At 42.2% G+C, this 15,662-nt stretch overlaps 2 protein-coding genes across 3 annotated transcripts in view, besides 1 other annotated feature; both read left to right on the forward strand.

Moving 5' to 3' along the window:
- The window catches only part of PIGX (phosphatidylinositol glycan anchor biosynthesis class X), a 23,631-nt gene extending 14,314 nt beyond the window's left edge, over positions 1-9,317 (forward strand). Inside the window, exons 4-7 of one of the 2 annotated variants that reach the window (NM_001166304.2) lie at positions 1,233-1,446; positions 2,012-2,065; positions 4,302-4,402; positions 7,069-9,317. In NM_001166304.2, the coding sequence (NP_001159776.1) occupies positions 1,233-1,446; positions 2,012-2,065; positions 4,302-4,402; positions 7,069-7,212 (513 nt within the window). In that variant the 3' untranslated portion in view covers positions 7,213-9,317. The remainder of the gene's footprint in view (positions 1-1,232; positions 1,447-2,011; positions 2,066-4,301; positions 4,403-7,068) is intronic. The other variant, NM_017861.4, reaches the window with a different exon arrangement.
- Positions 12,958-13,747: a silencer, noted in NCBI's record as "silent region_15072". NCBI's record gives its function as "represses an Ori minimal core promoter by ATAC-STARR-seq in GM12878 lymphoblastoid cells {active_cell/tissue: GM12878}" and the evidence as "EXISTENCE:reporter gene assay evidence [ECO:0000049][PMID:35858748]".
- Positions 13,167-15,662, forward strand: part of PAK2 (p21 (RAC1) activated kinase 2) — a 92,791-nt gene continuing 90,295 nt past the window's right edge. The window contains exon 1 of the mRNA NM_002577.4: positions 13,167-13,467. The gene's annotated coding sequence lies outside the window, so the exon portion shown is untranslated. The remainder of the gene's footprint in view (positions 13,468-15,662) is intronic.

A 15,662-nucleotide genomic window follows, 5' to 3' on the forward strand; every position in this document is an offset into this window, starting at 1 on the left:
GATAATTGAAGGATCCCTAGTGGAATAAGGAACGAATTTATTGCAGACATTGTAAGCAAGAACAACTGGTAAATGTTATAGGTTAGTACATACAGTTTCTACTCATGAAAAAGAAATAACCTTATAACAGTAGATAGATCGAGATGACTTATAGTAATGAGCTTCCTTCCAGTCACTGAAGGTATTCAAGCAGTGGCGGTATACCTGAAAAATACCTTTGTTGGGACAGTGGTTTAATTTTATTACTTCCAAAGTCCCTCATGACTCATGAGATGATATAATTCCTTGACTTTTGCCAATGAGTTCTGTTCCTGCTGTGACTAACTGAAAAGGAACAACATGTAAAGAAAACATAGCACTTGGTGTCACTGTCAGAGGAAAGTTAGGATGCTTGATGTGATGGGAAGGAGTTAATGCATACCAGGGTTTTGCATGGACAATCTAAAGAGAAGTTGTGCGTGTGTGTACATCCATACATATACACATAGGTCGCGTATATAATGCCTGTGTGTGTATGTGGATATATGTGAGTGTGTGTACATAAATATGTATGTATATGTGGATATATGTGTAATAAATAAATATACATGTTATAACTTAGGTCTAATTTCTGCCACATGTACATTTTCACTTTTGGTGTAGAATACTATACTTTTCTATAAAATAGTTTTTACCATATTATTTTAAGCAATCATTTACTATTTTTTCCATTAACTGTTTATACCGTCTCTAGAAAGAGTGCTGACCTTTGCTTTGACTTCCTGACCGCAGTGCTCTTACTCACTGCCATCTCACTTGCTTCTCTGAAGAACAGGAAATTGTCAGAATGATACCAATCATTTTAACTCAATACAGGTTTAACCTTTTGTCACAGTTTGTGTACTTATTGAATAATGCTATATTCACAAAATTTCTCTGTCTTAGGTACCTATTTTGTCACCTAAGCAAAGACTAATAAGAAAATATTACAGGAATAATTTTTATTATGGGGAAATTTGGTACCCTAGAATATAATTTCCCCAGTTTTTTTTTAGTAAGCAGACTTTTATTAAGCATAAATTGGTCTTGTGTTTTTCTCCTTAAAATTGAGGATGGAAGGGGAATGGAAATTGCTTATAAAAGGGGCAAATTTGACACTGCTGTGTATCTGTATATAGTCTTCTGGTTTTAACTTTTTAAAAATCTTCCTCATTCATTTCTTCTTGATTAATATTTATTTTCTTTTTGAACAGGCAGTGATGGTTTCAGAAAATTTTGATATAGAGGCCCCTAACTATTTGTCCAAGGAGTCTGAAGTTCTCATTTATGCCAGACGAGATTCACAGTGCATTGACTGTTTTCAAGCCTTTTTGCCTGTGCACTGCCGCTATCATCGGCCGCACAGTGAAGATGGAGAAGCCTCGATTGTGGTCAATAACCCAGATTTGTTGATGTTTTGTGACCAAGGTGAGGGCTGCAAGTGTTTTCTAAGGGTTGAAACATCAGAATAAAGGTATGGTGGCAAGTCCTCCTTCTGCTAGGCTGGCTGGCAAGGCCCTATGTCTTGACCTAGGTGGTAGTTACAAGGGTATTTATTTGCCTTATAATAATTCACTAAACTATGTATTTGAGTAGATTTTTATGTGTGTGCTTTAATTTACAATAAAAAAGTTAAAAAGAAACATGCATCTGCCATCCCTGTCCTTGACTGCGCTGCCCCAACTGTCATCTCCTTCCCTCTAAGACGAACCCACCATCCTGACTGTTAAATACTTCCTTATGTTTCTTTATATGTTTATCATCCAGATGGGCATTCCAAGACACTATACCAAGACTAAGGTCTTGTCCATTTATAAAAATCTATTATTTCCATTAAGTCTCTTAATGTACAGGTTTCTCTCTATCCCTTTCCTTTCTTCAACACTGATCTGTTGAAAGAACCTGGGCCATTTGACCTGTAGTTGGTCATAGCTGGGGTTTTGCTAATTGGACTCATGTTCCTCATACTTCTTTATTTACTGGAAATTGGCAGCTGGCTCCAGAAGAATGATCAGATTCCGGTTTGATTCCTTTGACAAAACTATAGGTCAGTGCTGTGTTCTCTTCTCAGTAGCCATTTAATATTAGTAGGCATGTACTATGTGTTTCTTTTTGCAGCCATTGGTCCACATTACCCCTCTGTTGCTTTTTGTTTCTTGTTATCAGTATTGCAGGACTCTGGCTTTTGATGTTTTGTTTCTACTTGCATGTATTTTGATGTTTGGGAAGATATTTTATCACCTAGTTTTGTTGCAGATTTTGTCTGTGAGTTTTTAATTTTGCTGCATAATTGTCGTTTCTGTTTTTATGTGGGAATGGGTAAACTGAAAAATCAGCTTTTGCTGCCGGGCGAGGTGGCTCACGCCTGTAACCCCAGCACTTTGGGAGGCCGAGGCGGGTGGATCATGAGTTCAGGAGTTCGAGACCAGCCTGACCAACATGGTGAAACCCCGTCTCTACTAAAAATACAAAAAATTAGCTGGGAGAGGTGGCGGGCGTCTGTAATCCCAGCTACTTGGGAGGCGGAGGCAGGAGAATCATTTGAACCCAGGAGGCGGAGGTTGCAGTGAGCCAAGATTACACCACTGCACTCTAGCCTGGGTGACAGAGCGAGACTGCGTCTCAAAAAAAAAATAAAATAAAAAAAATAAAAAGCTTTTGCAGTTTGCAGTCTTCTCAAGATGTTTTCTTTCTTTCTTTCTTATTTTTTTTTTTTGAGGCGGAGTCTCGCTCTGTTGCCCAGGCTGGAGTGCAGTGGCGCAATCTCGGCTTACCGCAATCTCCGCCTCTCCTGCCTCAGCCTCCTGAGTAGCTGGGACTACAGGCTGCGCCACCATGCCTGGCTAATTTTTGTATTTTTAGTAGAGACGGAGTTTCACTATGTTGGCCAGACTAGTCTCGAACTCCTGACCTCGTGATCCACCCGCCTCGGCCTCCCAAAGTGCTGGGATTACAGGCGTGAGCCACAGCACCTGGCCAAGACATTTTCTTTAGTTTACGAAGCCCCTTTCAGTTTTTGGTTCTTTGTGTCTTCAAATTTGGGTTGATTTAGAATGTTTATAAAAGTTAGTAGCACTGGGGCCAGGTGCAGTGTATCACACCTGTAATCCCAGCACTTTGGGAGGCCGAGGCAGGCGGATCAGTTGAGGTCAGGAGTTCGAAACCAGCCTAGACAACATGGTGAAACCCTGTCTCTACTAAAAATATAAAAATTAGCCAGGTGTGGTGGTATGCACCTGCAATCCCAGCTACTTGGGAGGCTGAGGCACGGGAATCACTTGAACCTGGGAGGCGGAGGTTTCAGTGAGCTGAGATCGCGCCACTGCAGTCCAGCCTGGGAGACAGAGCAAGACTGTCTCAAAAAAAAAAAAAAAAGTTAGTAGCACTGTTACTAAAAACCGACAGATGGGAAGTTTTTAATACTACATTTGTTACCGTCATACCTTTCATGACGAGAAAATTAAAAATGTTCAATTATATTACCTTTGTTCATCCAACCTTGTTTTCTGTTTCTATTAAAGGTACCTCTTAGCATAAATAAAGTTTGAAAAAGTTCCTCTCCTGAGAGAACTGGATTCTGATATTCTGTCTTTTTATCTGAATGCTCTTTTATGGGTGTGTTTCATATGGAAATTTATCGAGTTTTGCACTTACGATATGTTCACTTTTCTGAGTGATGCTTCAAAAATAAGTTTACATTAAATTTTTAAGAGCAGCCCCAAATTTGAGTACAATGAGATTCATTAAGAAGTCATGTTTGGCCAGGCGTAGTGGCTCACGCCTGTAATCCCAACACTTTGGGAAACTGAGGTGGGTGGATCACGAGGTCAGGAGTTCAAGACCATCCTGGCCAAGATGGTGAAACCCGATCTCTACTAAAAATACAAAAATTAGCTGGGTGCAATGGCAGGCACCTGTAATCCCAGCTACTCTGGAGGCTGAGGCAGGAGAATCGCTTGAACCCAGGAGGTGGAGGTTGCAGTGAGCCGAGATTGCACCACAGCACTCCAGCCTGGGTGACAGAGTGAGACTCTGTCTCAAAAAAAAAAAAAAAAAAAAAAAAGAAGTCATGTTCAACTTTTGCAATACTTTTGTGATTTTCTAATTTCTTAGGCATTCACATAAAAAAGGATGCTAAAATAACAGAATGTGATAGATGGGTCCAGATCATATACATAATGTATTAAAATGTTTGACAACTTCTGTCTATTGAGGTTTAATACAAGCCTAGCTTTCAGTCCAAATACAGGTTTTCTGACATCATTTTCTACCACTTTTCTCAGAGTTCCCGATTTTGAAATGCTGGGCTCACTCAGAAGTGGCAGCCCCTTGTGCTTTGGAGAATGAGGATATCTGCCAATGGAACAAGATGAAGTATAAATCAGTAAGCTAATGTTTTATGTTGTTTTTTAGATCATGTGCCTCATTTAAAGCTCTTTCTGTAATGTTCCTGCCACATTTAAGAGATTAGCATTTTTTTTTTTTTTTAGGCGGAGTCTCGCTCTGTCACCCAGGCTGGAGTGCAGTGGCACAATCTCGGCTCACTGCAGCCTCCGCCTACCAGGTTCAAGTGATTCTCCTGCCTCAGCCTCCCAAGTAGCTGGGATTCTAGGTGCCCGCCACCACACCCAGCTAATTTTTGTAGTTTTGGTAGAGGCAGGGTTTCACCCTGTTGGCCAGGCTGGTCTCAAACTCCTGACTTTAGGTGATCCGCCTATCTTGGCCTCCCAGAGTGCTGGGATTACAGGCATGAGCCACCGTGCCCAGCTGGGATTAGCATTTTCTAATATAGAAAGCTGTTTTTTCTTACAGCAAAGGGTTACTACAAAGCACTGCTGTTTTTTGTTGGGGAACTTTCATTGAACATACAGTTGGGAAGATGGATGACTCTGCAATCTTATGCAGTGTAGAGTTGTTTTTGAGTAGGTTGCCATTGCCATATGGTACCTGAAAATTTTTCTCAAACTCTAAAATACATCTGGAGACCTGCATTTGATTGATTATGTCAATGAAGAGTATGCTTAGTGTTTATGATTTATTGATTTAGCAAATTAGTGTGTATTGCTACAAGATAAGTAGTGACCCTTTTAAAACATTTTGAATTCAGTTGTCCTTATTTATTTATTTATTTATTTTGAGACAGAGTCTCGCTCTGTTGCCCAGGCTGGAGTGCAGTGGTGCAATCTTGGCTCACTGCAACCTCCGCCTCCCTGTTCAATCAGTTCTCCTGTCTCAGCCTCCCGAGTAGCTGGGACTATAGGCGCCTGCCACCATGCCCGGCTAATTTTTGTATTTTTAGTAGAGACGGGGTTTCACCTTGTTGGTCAGGCTGGTCTCAAACTCCTGACTTCAGGTGATCCACCCCCGTCAGCCTCCCAAAGTGCTGGGATTACAGGCGTGAGCCACCACACCTGACTTCAGTTGCCTTTAAAATTCTGTAACTTGCCATAAGAGGTCATAATAATTTAACACTTTAAATATAGCTTTTAACTATATGTATATATTATTTATATATATATATATATATATATATATATATATATATATATTTTATTTTATTTTATTTTTTTTTTTATTTTATTTTTTTTTTTGAGACGGAGTCTCGCTCTGTTGCCCAGGCTGGAGTGCAGTGGCACGATCTCGGCTCACCACAACCTCCGCCTCCCGGGTTCAAGTCATTCTCCTGCCTCAGCCTCCTGAGTAGCTGGGACTATAGGCACGTGCCACCATGCCTGGATAATTTTTGTATTTTTAGTAGAGACAGGGTTTCACTGTGTTGGCCAGGCTGGTCTCAAACTCCTGACCTCATGATCCGCCTGCCTCAGCCTCCCAAAGTGCTGGGATTACAGGCATGAGCCACTGCACCCGGCCAACTTTATATATATTTCATCTTCATATATACCAGAAAAATAGGTGGCCATTACTAAGGTGGTATTCCATCCCAAGGATTGTTGAAGATGTCATTTTTTTGAATGACGGTTTTCAGATAGCACTTTGTTGCAGATTGGGTTGGTTACTTGTATTTTTTGGGGTGTGAAATCATAATTCAGGTATTTACAAAAAGAAAAAGTATTCCCAAGTTACGTACATTTTAATGTTTTTTAAAACTTATTTTTAAAGTATAAACTTTCCCAGTGTTTTTCATTGAACTTTATCTTCAAAACCAAATAGAAAATAGAAACTGAGTTGAATGTAGGAGCTTTTCCATTGCTAGTCATAGTAAAGGCCACATCCAGCTGTACAATATGGGAATAACAAGGCTTTAAAAGCTATCTGGGGAGAGAAAGGCAAATGGGAATGAAAGAATAATTTAGTTTTTTGTTGTTTTAATGTTTTTCCTCTAAGTCTTCAATTTAGAGAGAATTCTGTATTCTAATTTGAAACATGGTAAGAGGAAGTAAATGTTTATATTGATTACAGAGGTGACACTGGGATATAGCTTTTCTTAAAATAATATACTTTATGTAAAAAGCAGAAAAATCAGAACTAATGAGATTTAACAAATTATTGTGGGAATTGAGTCTGATTCTGTAACATTAAATGAAATGTTAGATTCAAAAGTCATTCAAACCAATAATATTACATGTAGTGTAGCACTGGCTGAAATATATTTAAAAGAAAAAGGAAATAAAAATATCCAATTAAAAATCAAAGAAATAGTGGTCTCACCTTATGACATTTATTTTATTTTACTATTTTTATTTATTTATTTATTTATTTGAGACAGAGTCTTCCTCTGTCTCCCAGGCTGGAGTACAGTGGCACGATCTCAGCTCACTGCAAACCTCCGCCTCCCGGGTTCAAGTGATTGTTCTGTCTTAGCCTCCCTAGTAGCTGGGACTACAGGCACCTGCCACCACACCTGGCTAATTTTTGTATTTTTAGTAGAGATGGTTTAGTAGAGATGTTGGCCAGGCTGGTTTTGAACTCCTGACCTCAAGCGATCTGCCCGCCTTGGCCTCCCGAAGTGCTGGGATTACAGGCATGAGCTACCACACCGGGCCCATGACATGCATTTTCAATGTCTAACTTCTCTCTCTCTCTCCATAGGTATATAAGAATGTGATTCTACAAGTTCCAGTGGGACTGACTGTACATACCTCTCTAGTATGTTCTGTGACTCTGCTCATTACAATCCTGTGCTCTACATTGATCCTTGTAGCAGTTTTCAAATATGGCCATTTTTCCCTATAAGTTTTATGTAGTTAAATGCTTCCTAGAAACCTAAATAAGATCTATTAATTTCTGACGAGAGGTGTTCTTCTAGAATTAATTACTTTTATCTTTTGTCTTCATTTGTGGCCAAAATTATGTTTACTAGAGGAAATTTGGGATCATTCTCAGCTAATTCCAAAATGTAGTGCTCTATTGCATGGATCCTTGGTAATCCTCAAGCATCAGATGCCATAAGGGGAAACTTAATTCTGCTAAATTAATGTTTATTTTGTGAGAAGTGACTTTATCTTCATTTGGGGTAGAAAAATTATTTCTTTATGTAGTAGAGACAAATTATTCTCATTTTGCAAGTACTTTCAATTTAAGCTACAAATTGAGAAAACCGTTATAAATAAGAATAAAATAGGCCAGGCACAGTGGCTCACACCTGTAATCCCAGCACTTTGGGAGGCCGAGGTGGGCGGATCACCAGAGGTCAAGAGTTTGAGACCAGCTTGGTGAAACCCTGTCTCTACTAAAAATACAAAAGTTAGCTGGGGCTGGTGGTGGGCATCTGTAGTCCCAGCTAATTGGAAGGGTGAGGCGGGAGGATCGCTTGAACCTGGGAGGCGGAGGTTCCAGAGAGCCAAGATCGCACCACTGCACTACAGCCTGGGCGACAGAACGAGACCCTGTCTCCAAAGGAAAAACAAAAAAGAAGAATAAAATAATTTGGATGAAAATCATGTTTATTTAAATAGTAATGTCATGAGACTATTAAAGATGTGCCAGAGTTTCAATGAAAATCATTAAAGTAGGACAGCTAAGAAATTAATATTAATATCAAAATTATTGATAATCTTAAATTATTGATTATTCCTTAACGCACTCCATTCTCCTTTTACATTTTATCATGTTTCTTTTGAATATATGAATTGGCAAAGGACTTGATGAAACTGAGTACTAAGATTTGGTACAGAGTATGTCAGGAAGACAACTCAGATTGCCATTTTAAATAAAGTTGTACATGAACAATAATTGGAATCATCAGGTAATTTTTTTAAACAAAGGTTCTTCATTTACTGTTATGATTGGAAAAAAATTAGAAAATAAAGTAAGTGCCATAGGCTAATTAAAAAATAAAACCTTGGCCGGGCGCGGTGGCTTACGCCTATAATCCCAGCACTTTGGGAGGCCGAGACGGGCAGATCACGAGGTCAGGAGATTGAGACCATCCTGGCTAACACGGTGAAACCCCATCTCTACTAAAAATACAAAAAAATGAGCCGGGTATGGTGGTGCATACCTGTAGTCCCAGCTACTCGGGAGGCTGAGGCAGGAGAATGGCATGAACCCGGAAGGCAGAGCTTGCAGTGAGCCGAGATCACGCCACTGCACTCCAGCCTGGGCGACAGAGTGAGACTCTGTCTCAAAAAAAAAAAAAAAAAAAAAAAAAAAAAAGTAAATAAAACCTTAGGGCAAGCATGTTCCAAAACAGAAGACATCAAACCAGGGTGTGTTGGCATTATTTATTTTATGTAGAGTATTGAGATGTGATAAACCTTTGTATATGCCATCACTGCTCCATTTCCTAAAGTATTTTGGTGTTTTCATGGGACTACATCTTGTATAATTTGACATGTATGACCTGACTAGTCCTAACAGTTCTTTTTAAACGTGTATTTGAGACTTAAATATTGGAAAAGGTAACCCAGTGCCATAAAGCAGAAACAGTGACCTTTAAAATGACTAAAATTTCAACCCAGTATAGTTTCATACCTATTTCATGCTTTCTCGTAAGAAAGAATTTCATGTTTTAGAAACATTTCTTTCACTATGGGATTAATAATATGACACTGAAATGGAATTATATATGTCAGCTACAATTCAGGCATTGTTTTGGGATATGGTTAGATTGACAGGCAACGTTTTGGAATATGGTTAGACGGGGAGGGAACACGGTACTGTTTAACATCTTAAGAGTATGTGGGGGTATGTGTATACAGAATGTTTTTGTTTTTGCTCATCACAACCAGGTTTCATCAGTATTTAAAATATTTAAGATTGTGGCTTGGAATGTGGTTCAGCCATTTACTCACTTATACAAATATTCAGAAGTGTAATAAAAATGTGAATGAAGAAAACTTTGATATAACTCTTCTTGCTTAGATAAATGGTTGCAGATGACATCACTTTTAGTATAACAGAACATTTCTGGTTTTGTTTGTATTATCTTGTAAACATGGCCAACATGGTGAAACCCCATCTCTACTAAAAATACAAAAAATTAGCCGGGAGTGGTGGCATGCGGCTGTAATCCCAGCTACTCGGGAGGCCGAGGCAGGAGAATCACTTGAACCCGGGAGGCAGAGGTTGCAGTGAGCCGAGATCGTACCACTGCACCCCAGCCTGGGCGACAGAGTGAGACTCCGTCACAAAAAAAAAAAAAAAAGGGAAAGAAAAAGAAAGAAATATACCTTTTAAGGAGTTCCTTTAGTGTGTCTCTGTTGGTAGCTTGTTTATGTTTGATGATATATTTATTTCATCCTCACTCATCTGATGGATAATTTAGGTAGTTGTACACTTTTTTTTTTTTTTTTTTTTTTGAGACAGAGTCTTGCTCTGTCGTCCAGGCTGGAGTGCAGTGGTGTGATCCCTGCTCACTGCAACCTCTGCTTCCTGGGTTCAAGTGATTCTCCTGCCTCAGCCTACCAAGTAGCTGGGACTACAGGCGCACACCACCACACCCTGCTATTTTTTATATTTTTAGCAGAGACAGGGTTTTGCCGTTGTTGGCCAGGCTGGTCTTGAACTCCTGATCTCAGGTGATCTGCCCACCTCAGCCTCCTAAAGTGCTGGGATTACAGGTGTGAGCCACTGTGCCCAGCCGGTAGCTGTACACTTCTAAGCTTGGTTATTTTCTCTTGGTACTTTGAAAATATACCATTATTGACTGGCACCCGTTTTGCTGTTGTGAAATCTGCTATGAATGTAATAGTTGTTTGTACAGAATGTCTTTTCTCTCTGGTTGCTTTATCTCTGGTATTCTGCGGTTTCATTTTCATGTGTTTGAAATTTCTTTACTTATCCTGCTTGGTATTCAGTTTGCTTCCTGAATCTGAAGATTCCTGTCTTTAATCAATTCTGGAAATTTTTCAGCCATTATCTCATCATTATCTGCCTCTCTTGGTTTTTCTCTTTTCTCTCCTGGAATTCTCATTAGGAGTATGGTAGAGACCTTAACAATCTATCCCCATGTCTCTTAAGCTTGCTTTCATTTTTCCTGTCTCTAGGCTGTTCTCAGTAATTTCTTTTGGTCTGTCTTCCAGTTTACTAATTTTCTCTTCAATTGTGTGTAATCTGCTATTTAACCAAACATTGGCTTTGGTTTCAGTTATTCTTTGTTTCTAGAAATTCTACTTAATTCTTTTGTTGTTGTTGTTTTTGTTTTGAGACGGAGTTTTGCTCTTGTTGCCCAGGCTGGAGTGCAATGGCATGTTCTTGGCTTACTGCAACCTCCACCTCCCAGGTTCAAGTGATTCTCCTGCCTCAGCCTCCTGAGTAGGTGGGACTACAGGTGCCCACCACCACGCCTGGCTAATTTTTGCATTTTTAGTAGAGACTGGGGTTTCACCATGTTGGCCAGGCTGGTCTCGAACTCCTGACCTCGGGTGATCTGCCCACCTCGGCCTCCCAAACTGCTGGGATTACAGGTGTGAGCCACCGCGCCTGGCCTACTTATTTCATTTTCAAAGCTGTTTGGTCGTTAAAAAAAAAAAGCATCTTGTTTCTTGCTCGTGTTTTCTAGCTCCTGTCTTACTTTCTTTAATCATTTAAATAGGCGTACTGTATATTCTGTAGCCATCAATTCCAGCAGCTAAAGTCTGTGTGGGTTTCATTATGTTCTTTGTAGTTTCTATTGACTCACTCATCGCTGCTTATTTCCTCAGGTGTATTGTATTTCGGGTGCTCATGTTTGGCTTCGGAAATCCTGTTTATCTGTGAAATCCTTTGAGACCGAGGTTGAGGGTACACCTGTGCAGTCAGGATTTGTATTTGTTTCTTCCAGGCCCCCCAGAACTCCAGCCTGGGACCACTTTCTTGACAAATTTGAACTTTAAAACCTTAGTGAGGGAAAATTCTAAAGGGTTATTAATTCTAAAGGGAAAATTTTCTTCTGCCCTGCAAGCCCACTGCAGGCCAAAGTAAACAAATGTCCTGTGTGTCTCCCTGGGCTAGCATAGGGTTTTTTTTCCCCCCAGTCTGTTCTTGGAGGGTATAGCGCCTTGAATTTCCAGTCCTATGCAGGATCACAGTCCTGACTTCTTGTATAGGCCCAAGTCCTTGTCTTTAGTTTCCTGTGCACCTATTAAAACTCTAGAGATTTCTGAGATAAGTAGGTGCCCTCAACACAACCATGGCTTCACTGCCCTGCTTACCACTCTGGTGTCCTGCCCCTTCTTCAGGTTGAGTGTGAAATTTGGAAGACTGTCAGAAACATTCTATTTTCATTCTTGCAAGTTATGCCTTTGAAAGGATGTCTTATTTATCCAGTGTTTCTGTGTGTTTAATAATCAGAGCATTTTTCAGGTTATCTCTTACTGTGCCATGTTGCTCCTTGATTCCTTTCTCTCCTGTACCCACTGCATCAATTGAGTTTTTTGCTCTACATTGATAGAGAAGCACAATTCCTCTTTCTTTCCACTGCCTTCCTACTTTATTTCCCTTCTATTCTTGCATCTCTATACTCCATTATCCACATTGCAGTCTAGTGATCTTAAAGTGTAAGCCAGGTAACATCGCTTTCCTGCTTAAAAAAGCCTTTTAATGGTTTTTTGTAATATAGACTTTTTACCATGGCATTCAGGATCTTTCATGACCTGAATCTTGTCTGCTGTAGTGTTTTCTTAATAGTACCGCCTTCTTGTTCTAGGCCCCAGCTACACAGGCCTTCTTAACTGACCGTAGCAAGCCCTTTTCTTTCTTCTCCTGCCTGTATTGCTTTTCTCTGGGTGCTTCTTATTGCTGTCTCTTTCTGTTCTTGCCTTAAGTGTCACCTCCTTAACGAGGCCTTCTCCGACCACCCTATCCAAAGTAACCTCGCCAAGTTTTTTCTTATACCAGGTGTGACTACTTTAATTACTGCGTCCTCATATAAGCTCCACAAAGGCTTGGTGAATCGTGTTCACCCTTGCATTTCTTTTGTGTTTTTTGTTTTGTTTTTGAGGCATGACGACTCTGTCACGCTGAAGTGCAGTGGCCCGATCTTGGCTCACTGCAGCCTCCTCCTCCTGGGTTCAAGCGATTCTCCTGCCTTAGTCTCCCGAGTAGCTGGGACTACAGATGCGTGCCACCATGCCCAGCTAATTTTTGTATTTTTAGTAGAAACGGGGTTTCATCGTGTTGGCCAGGCTGGTCTCGAACTCCCGACCTCAGGTGATCCGCCTGCCTCAGCCTCCCAAAGTGCTGGGATTACAGGCGTGAGCCACCGCACCTGAACCACCCTTGTATTTCTGATGCTTAACAGTGTCTAGTCCATATCAGACACTCAAATATTTGTAGAATAAGTGAAACATTGATGAACTCCTCCGTGGATAAAATAGGGAAGTCTTAATTTGCAAGGAGGTGATACTTAATTTAGCAGCAAAATTTTAGTTAAGAATTTGTAAGCAAAAAAGCAAAATGGATAACGGATGAATTCCCAGAAACAAATGTCGCGGAGCAGATGTGTATAACAGCAATCGTCTGTCAGCGTCTTCCGTCGGCAGAGACCTGCTTGGAGACAATGCTGAATTAAATGAGGGACTGGCTGCTCCTCTCAATACAAAGACTACCCAAGGAATAAAAGCAACGTCTATCACCGAACTACTACTCCCAGCGGCCCCCGCGCGGGCCTGCCCATGGGAGGTGGCGCTCGTCTCCGCCCCGGGGAGCTCCGGCTTCGGGGCGGGAGGGGTTCTGGGTTCTGGCCCCGCCCCGCCCCGCTCCCCGCCGTCTTCCTCCCCCAGGGTTGTGGCCACGCGCAGCGGCGGCGGTTGTTCCGCTTCCCCTCCGGCCCGGGCCGTCGCCATTGCCGAAGGCTCCCTCCCCTCCCCTCCCTGGCGTGCGCAGGACTCCGCCGCCGCTGGGCCTAGCGGTAGCAGCGGCTGCTCCAGCGCGGCGTCTCTTCCCGCCCCGCTTCCCCTTCCCTCCCCTCCCCTCCCCGCACCGCGCGCTAGCCCGGGGCGGCTCCGCAGCCCGCCGGGAGCTCTGACCGAGGCGCCTCGCTGGGGCGGGGACCTTGCCTTGCCCGGGGTAAGTGCACACAGGCCGGCCGGCGCGGGACGCAGGCCGGGTCTCTTCCTCCTCCTTCCTTCTCCGTGGCCTGGCGGGCGGGAGCGGCCCGGGACGGCCGACCTGCCCCGCGCGGGGCCGGGGAGCCGCCACCTGCGTGCTGGGAGCCGCAGCTCCTGGGGCGGTGGCTCATTGTCTGCTCCCCAGGGCCGTTTTCTTCGCTGGCTTTAGCCAGAAATGGGAAGCTCGCTGGGCTGCGGAGGTCTGACTCTTCCTGGACCCAGCCCTGCTCTGAACCTCGCGGCACCACGGTCTCTGCCGACTCTCGGTCTTCCCTCCCCTCGCGTTTCACCCTCTTCCTTTGCTCCGTTTTCTTAATGCTGGACCAGACTCTCCGGTTTTGTTCCTTGATTTTTCCTCTCACTGATTCTCAGCCCCTGCTTGCTCGCTCTCTGTTCACCCGTTTCACTGCTCAGGAATATTGTCGCGAGTAGCTTGACTGTTTTCTCAGCTCCAGCCTGTAACCTCTTTTCCACATTCCACATTGGTAAAAACGTAGAGCGTCCCGGGCGCTTGAGGGCCACCGCTTACGAACTGATCTTTCGGAGCTTCTCCTCGCTCCTGTTTGAGCTTCAGCCTAGGGGTGAAATTTGCTTCTTTAGATAACTTAGGTGAAGTTAAGATTGGTTTTTCACCATGTTTGGCTCTCTTGGAAACACACGCACGCACAAACACAAAACGTTGCCACTCAACCTTTTAACTAATTCTTTAAAGATAAGTCATCCAAGAACAGAAGCGTGTCATCGTCAGTGGGTGTGAGGTTGTACCCATCCTTGTATCTTAATTTTAGTAGTACTCTCCCTGGGCAGTGTGAGCGTGATTTGTTGTCCCTTGATAAATAACGAACTCCGGTTGATATCATTATCTCACTTCTGCGTTACAGGCGATGTGTCCTTTCTTTGTTTTCTTTTTTAACCTTTATAAAAAGACAAAATGGTTAGGCCTAAAATTAAACTACGAAGAGCTGTGTTTTGGATCAAGGTTGTGCACGTCACGTTTTTTCCCCTGCTGTGTTCGACTCTTCCGCTCTTATAAGTAGGCAGGATATTGAAATGTACAAGAATTTGCTCTGGGGATTTTGTTTTTGTAGGGTTGTCCAATAGAATAACACTCAGTAAAGTTACATTGGGATGAAGGCAGTGAATAGTAATTTTTAAAGCAGGTTAAAACTTGTCAACTTTGCCAGAAGGTCTGTGGCTTCTGTAAAGCCCACTCATGCTCGTGTATATATGAAGAGCCTTTTTCATGTTCTGTTAGGAGTATGGATTTCAGGCAACTTTTTCACTGTGTCATCCTCGGCTATTAAATCTTTCGAGCTACTTATTAGCCAAGCACATTGATTGACACTTATTACGGAAAGTGAACCTGTAATAGATGTAGGTCTTAAACCAACTTTCCGATTTGGTAACAGGTTGACCTAAATTCAGTGTATTTTGTGTTTTCACTAAGTAGCCCATTGTTACCTTTCCCTCCAGCAAGGCTCTGAAAAAAGTGGCTCCAATACTCAGCTTCAATACTGTCATCATTTCTTAAATAGTAGTATCAGTTGTCCTTAACTTAATGGATGTTTTATTGGCCTGAGGGATTAAGGTGTAGAAAGGTTGGAGTTTTGTTGGAGTTTGAAACTTGGTCTGTAGATGTTGGCTTCTCTGCCAGTTTCTTCTAATCAGCAGATATTTTTATGAAGGAAGAGTTCCTGGGTATTTCACTTCCCTTAGGGCCTTGGTTTATGGTTTACTCTCATTCAGAGAGAGATACTATTCTGGACTCCGTGCTATTTAATACTAACCTTGCAAACCCAAATTCAAAATTAAGTTTATAGTTCGAGTATACAGGCGATAGGGCTCTCTGATCTTTATGATAGACAGGTTCCCAAGTAGATGCGGTTAACAATTAATATTTCTTTTTTTTTTTTTTTTTTGAGACGGAGTTTCAGTTGCCCAGGCTGGAGTGCAATGGTGCGATCACCGCAACCTCCGCCTCCTGGGTTCAAGCGATTCTCCTGTCTCAGCCTGCTGAGTAGCTGGGATTACAGGCACGCGCCACCACGCGCGGCTAATTTTGTATTTTTAGTAGAGATGGGGTTTCACCGTGTTGGTTAGGCTGGTCTCGAACTCCCGACCTCAGGTCATCTGCCCGCCTCAGCCTCCCAAAAT

This window comes from Homo sapiens, chromosome 3 (genome assembly GCF_000001405.40).
Source record: "Homo sapiens chromosome 3, GRCh38.p14 Primary Assembly".
Taxonomy (NCBI): Eukaryota; Metazoa; Chordata; class Mammalia; order Primates; family Hominidae; genus Homo; species Homo sapiens.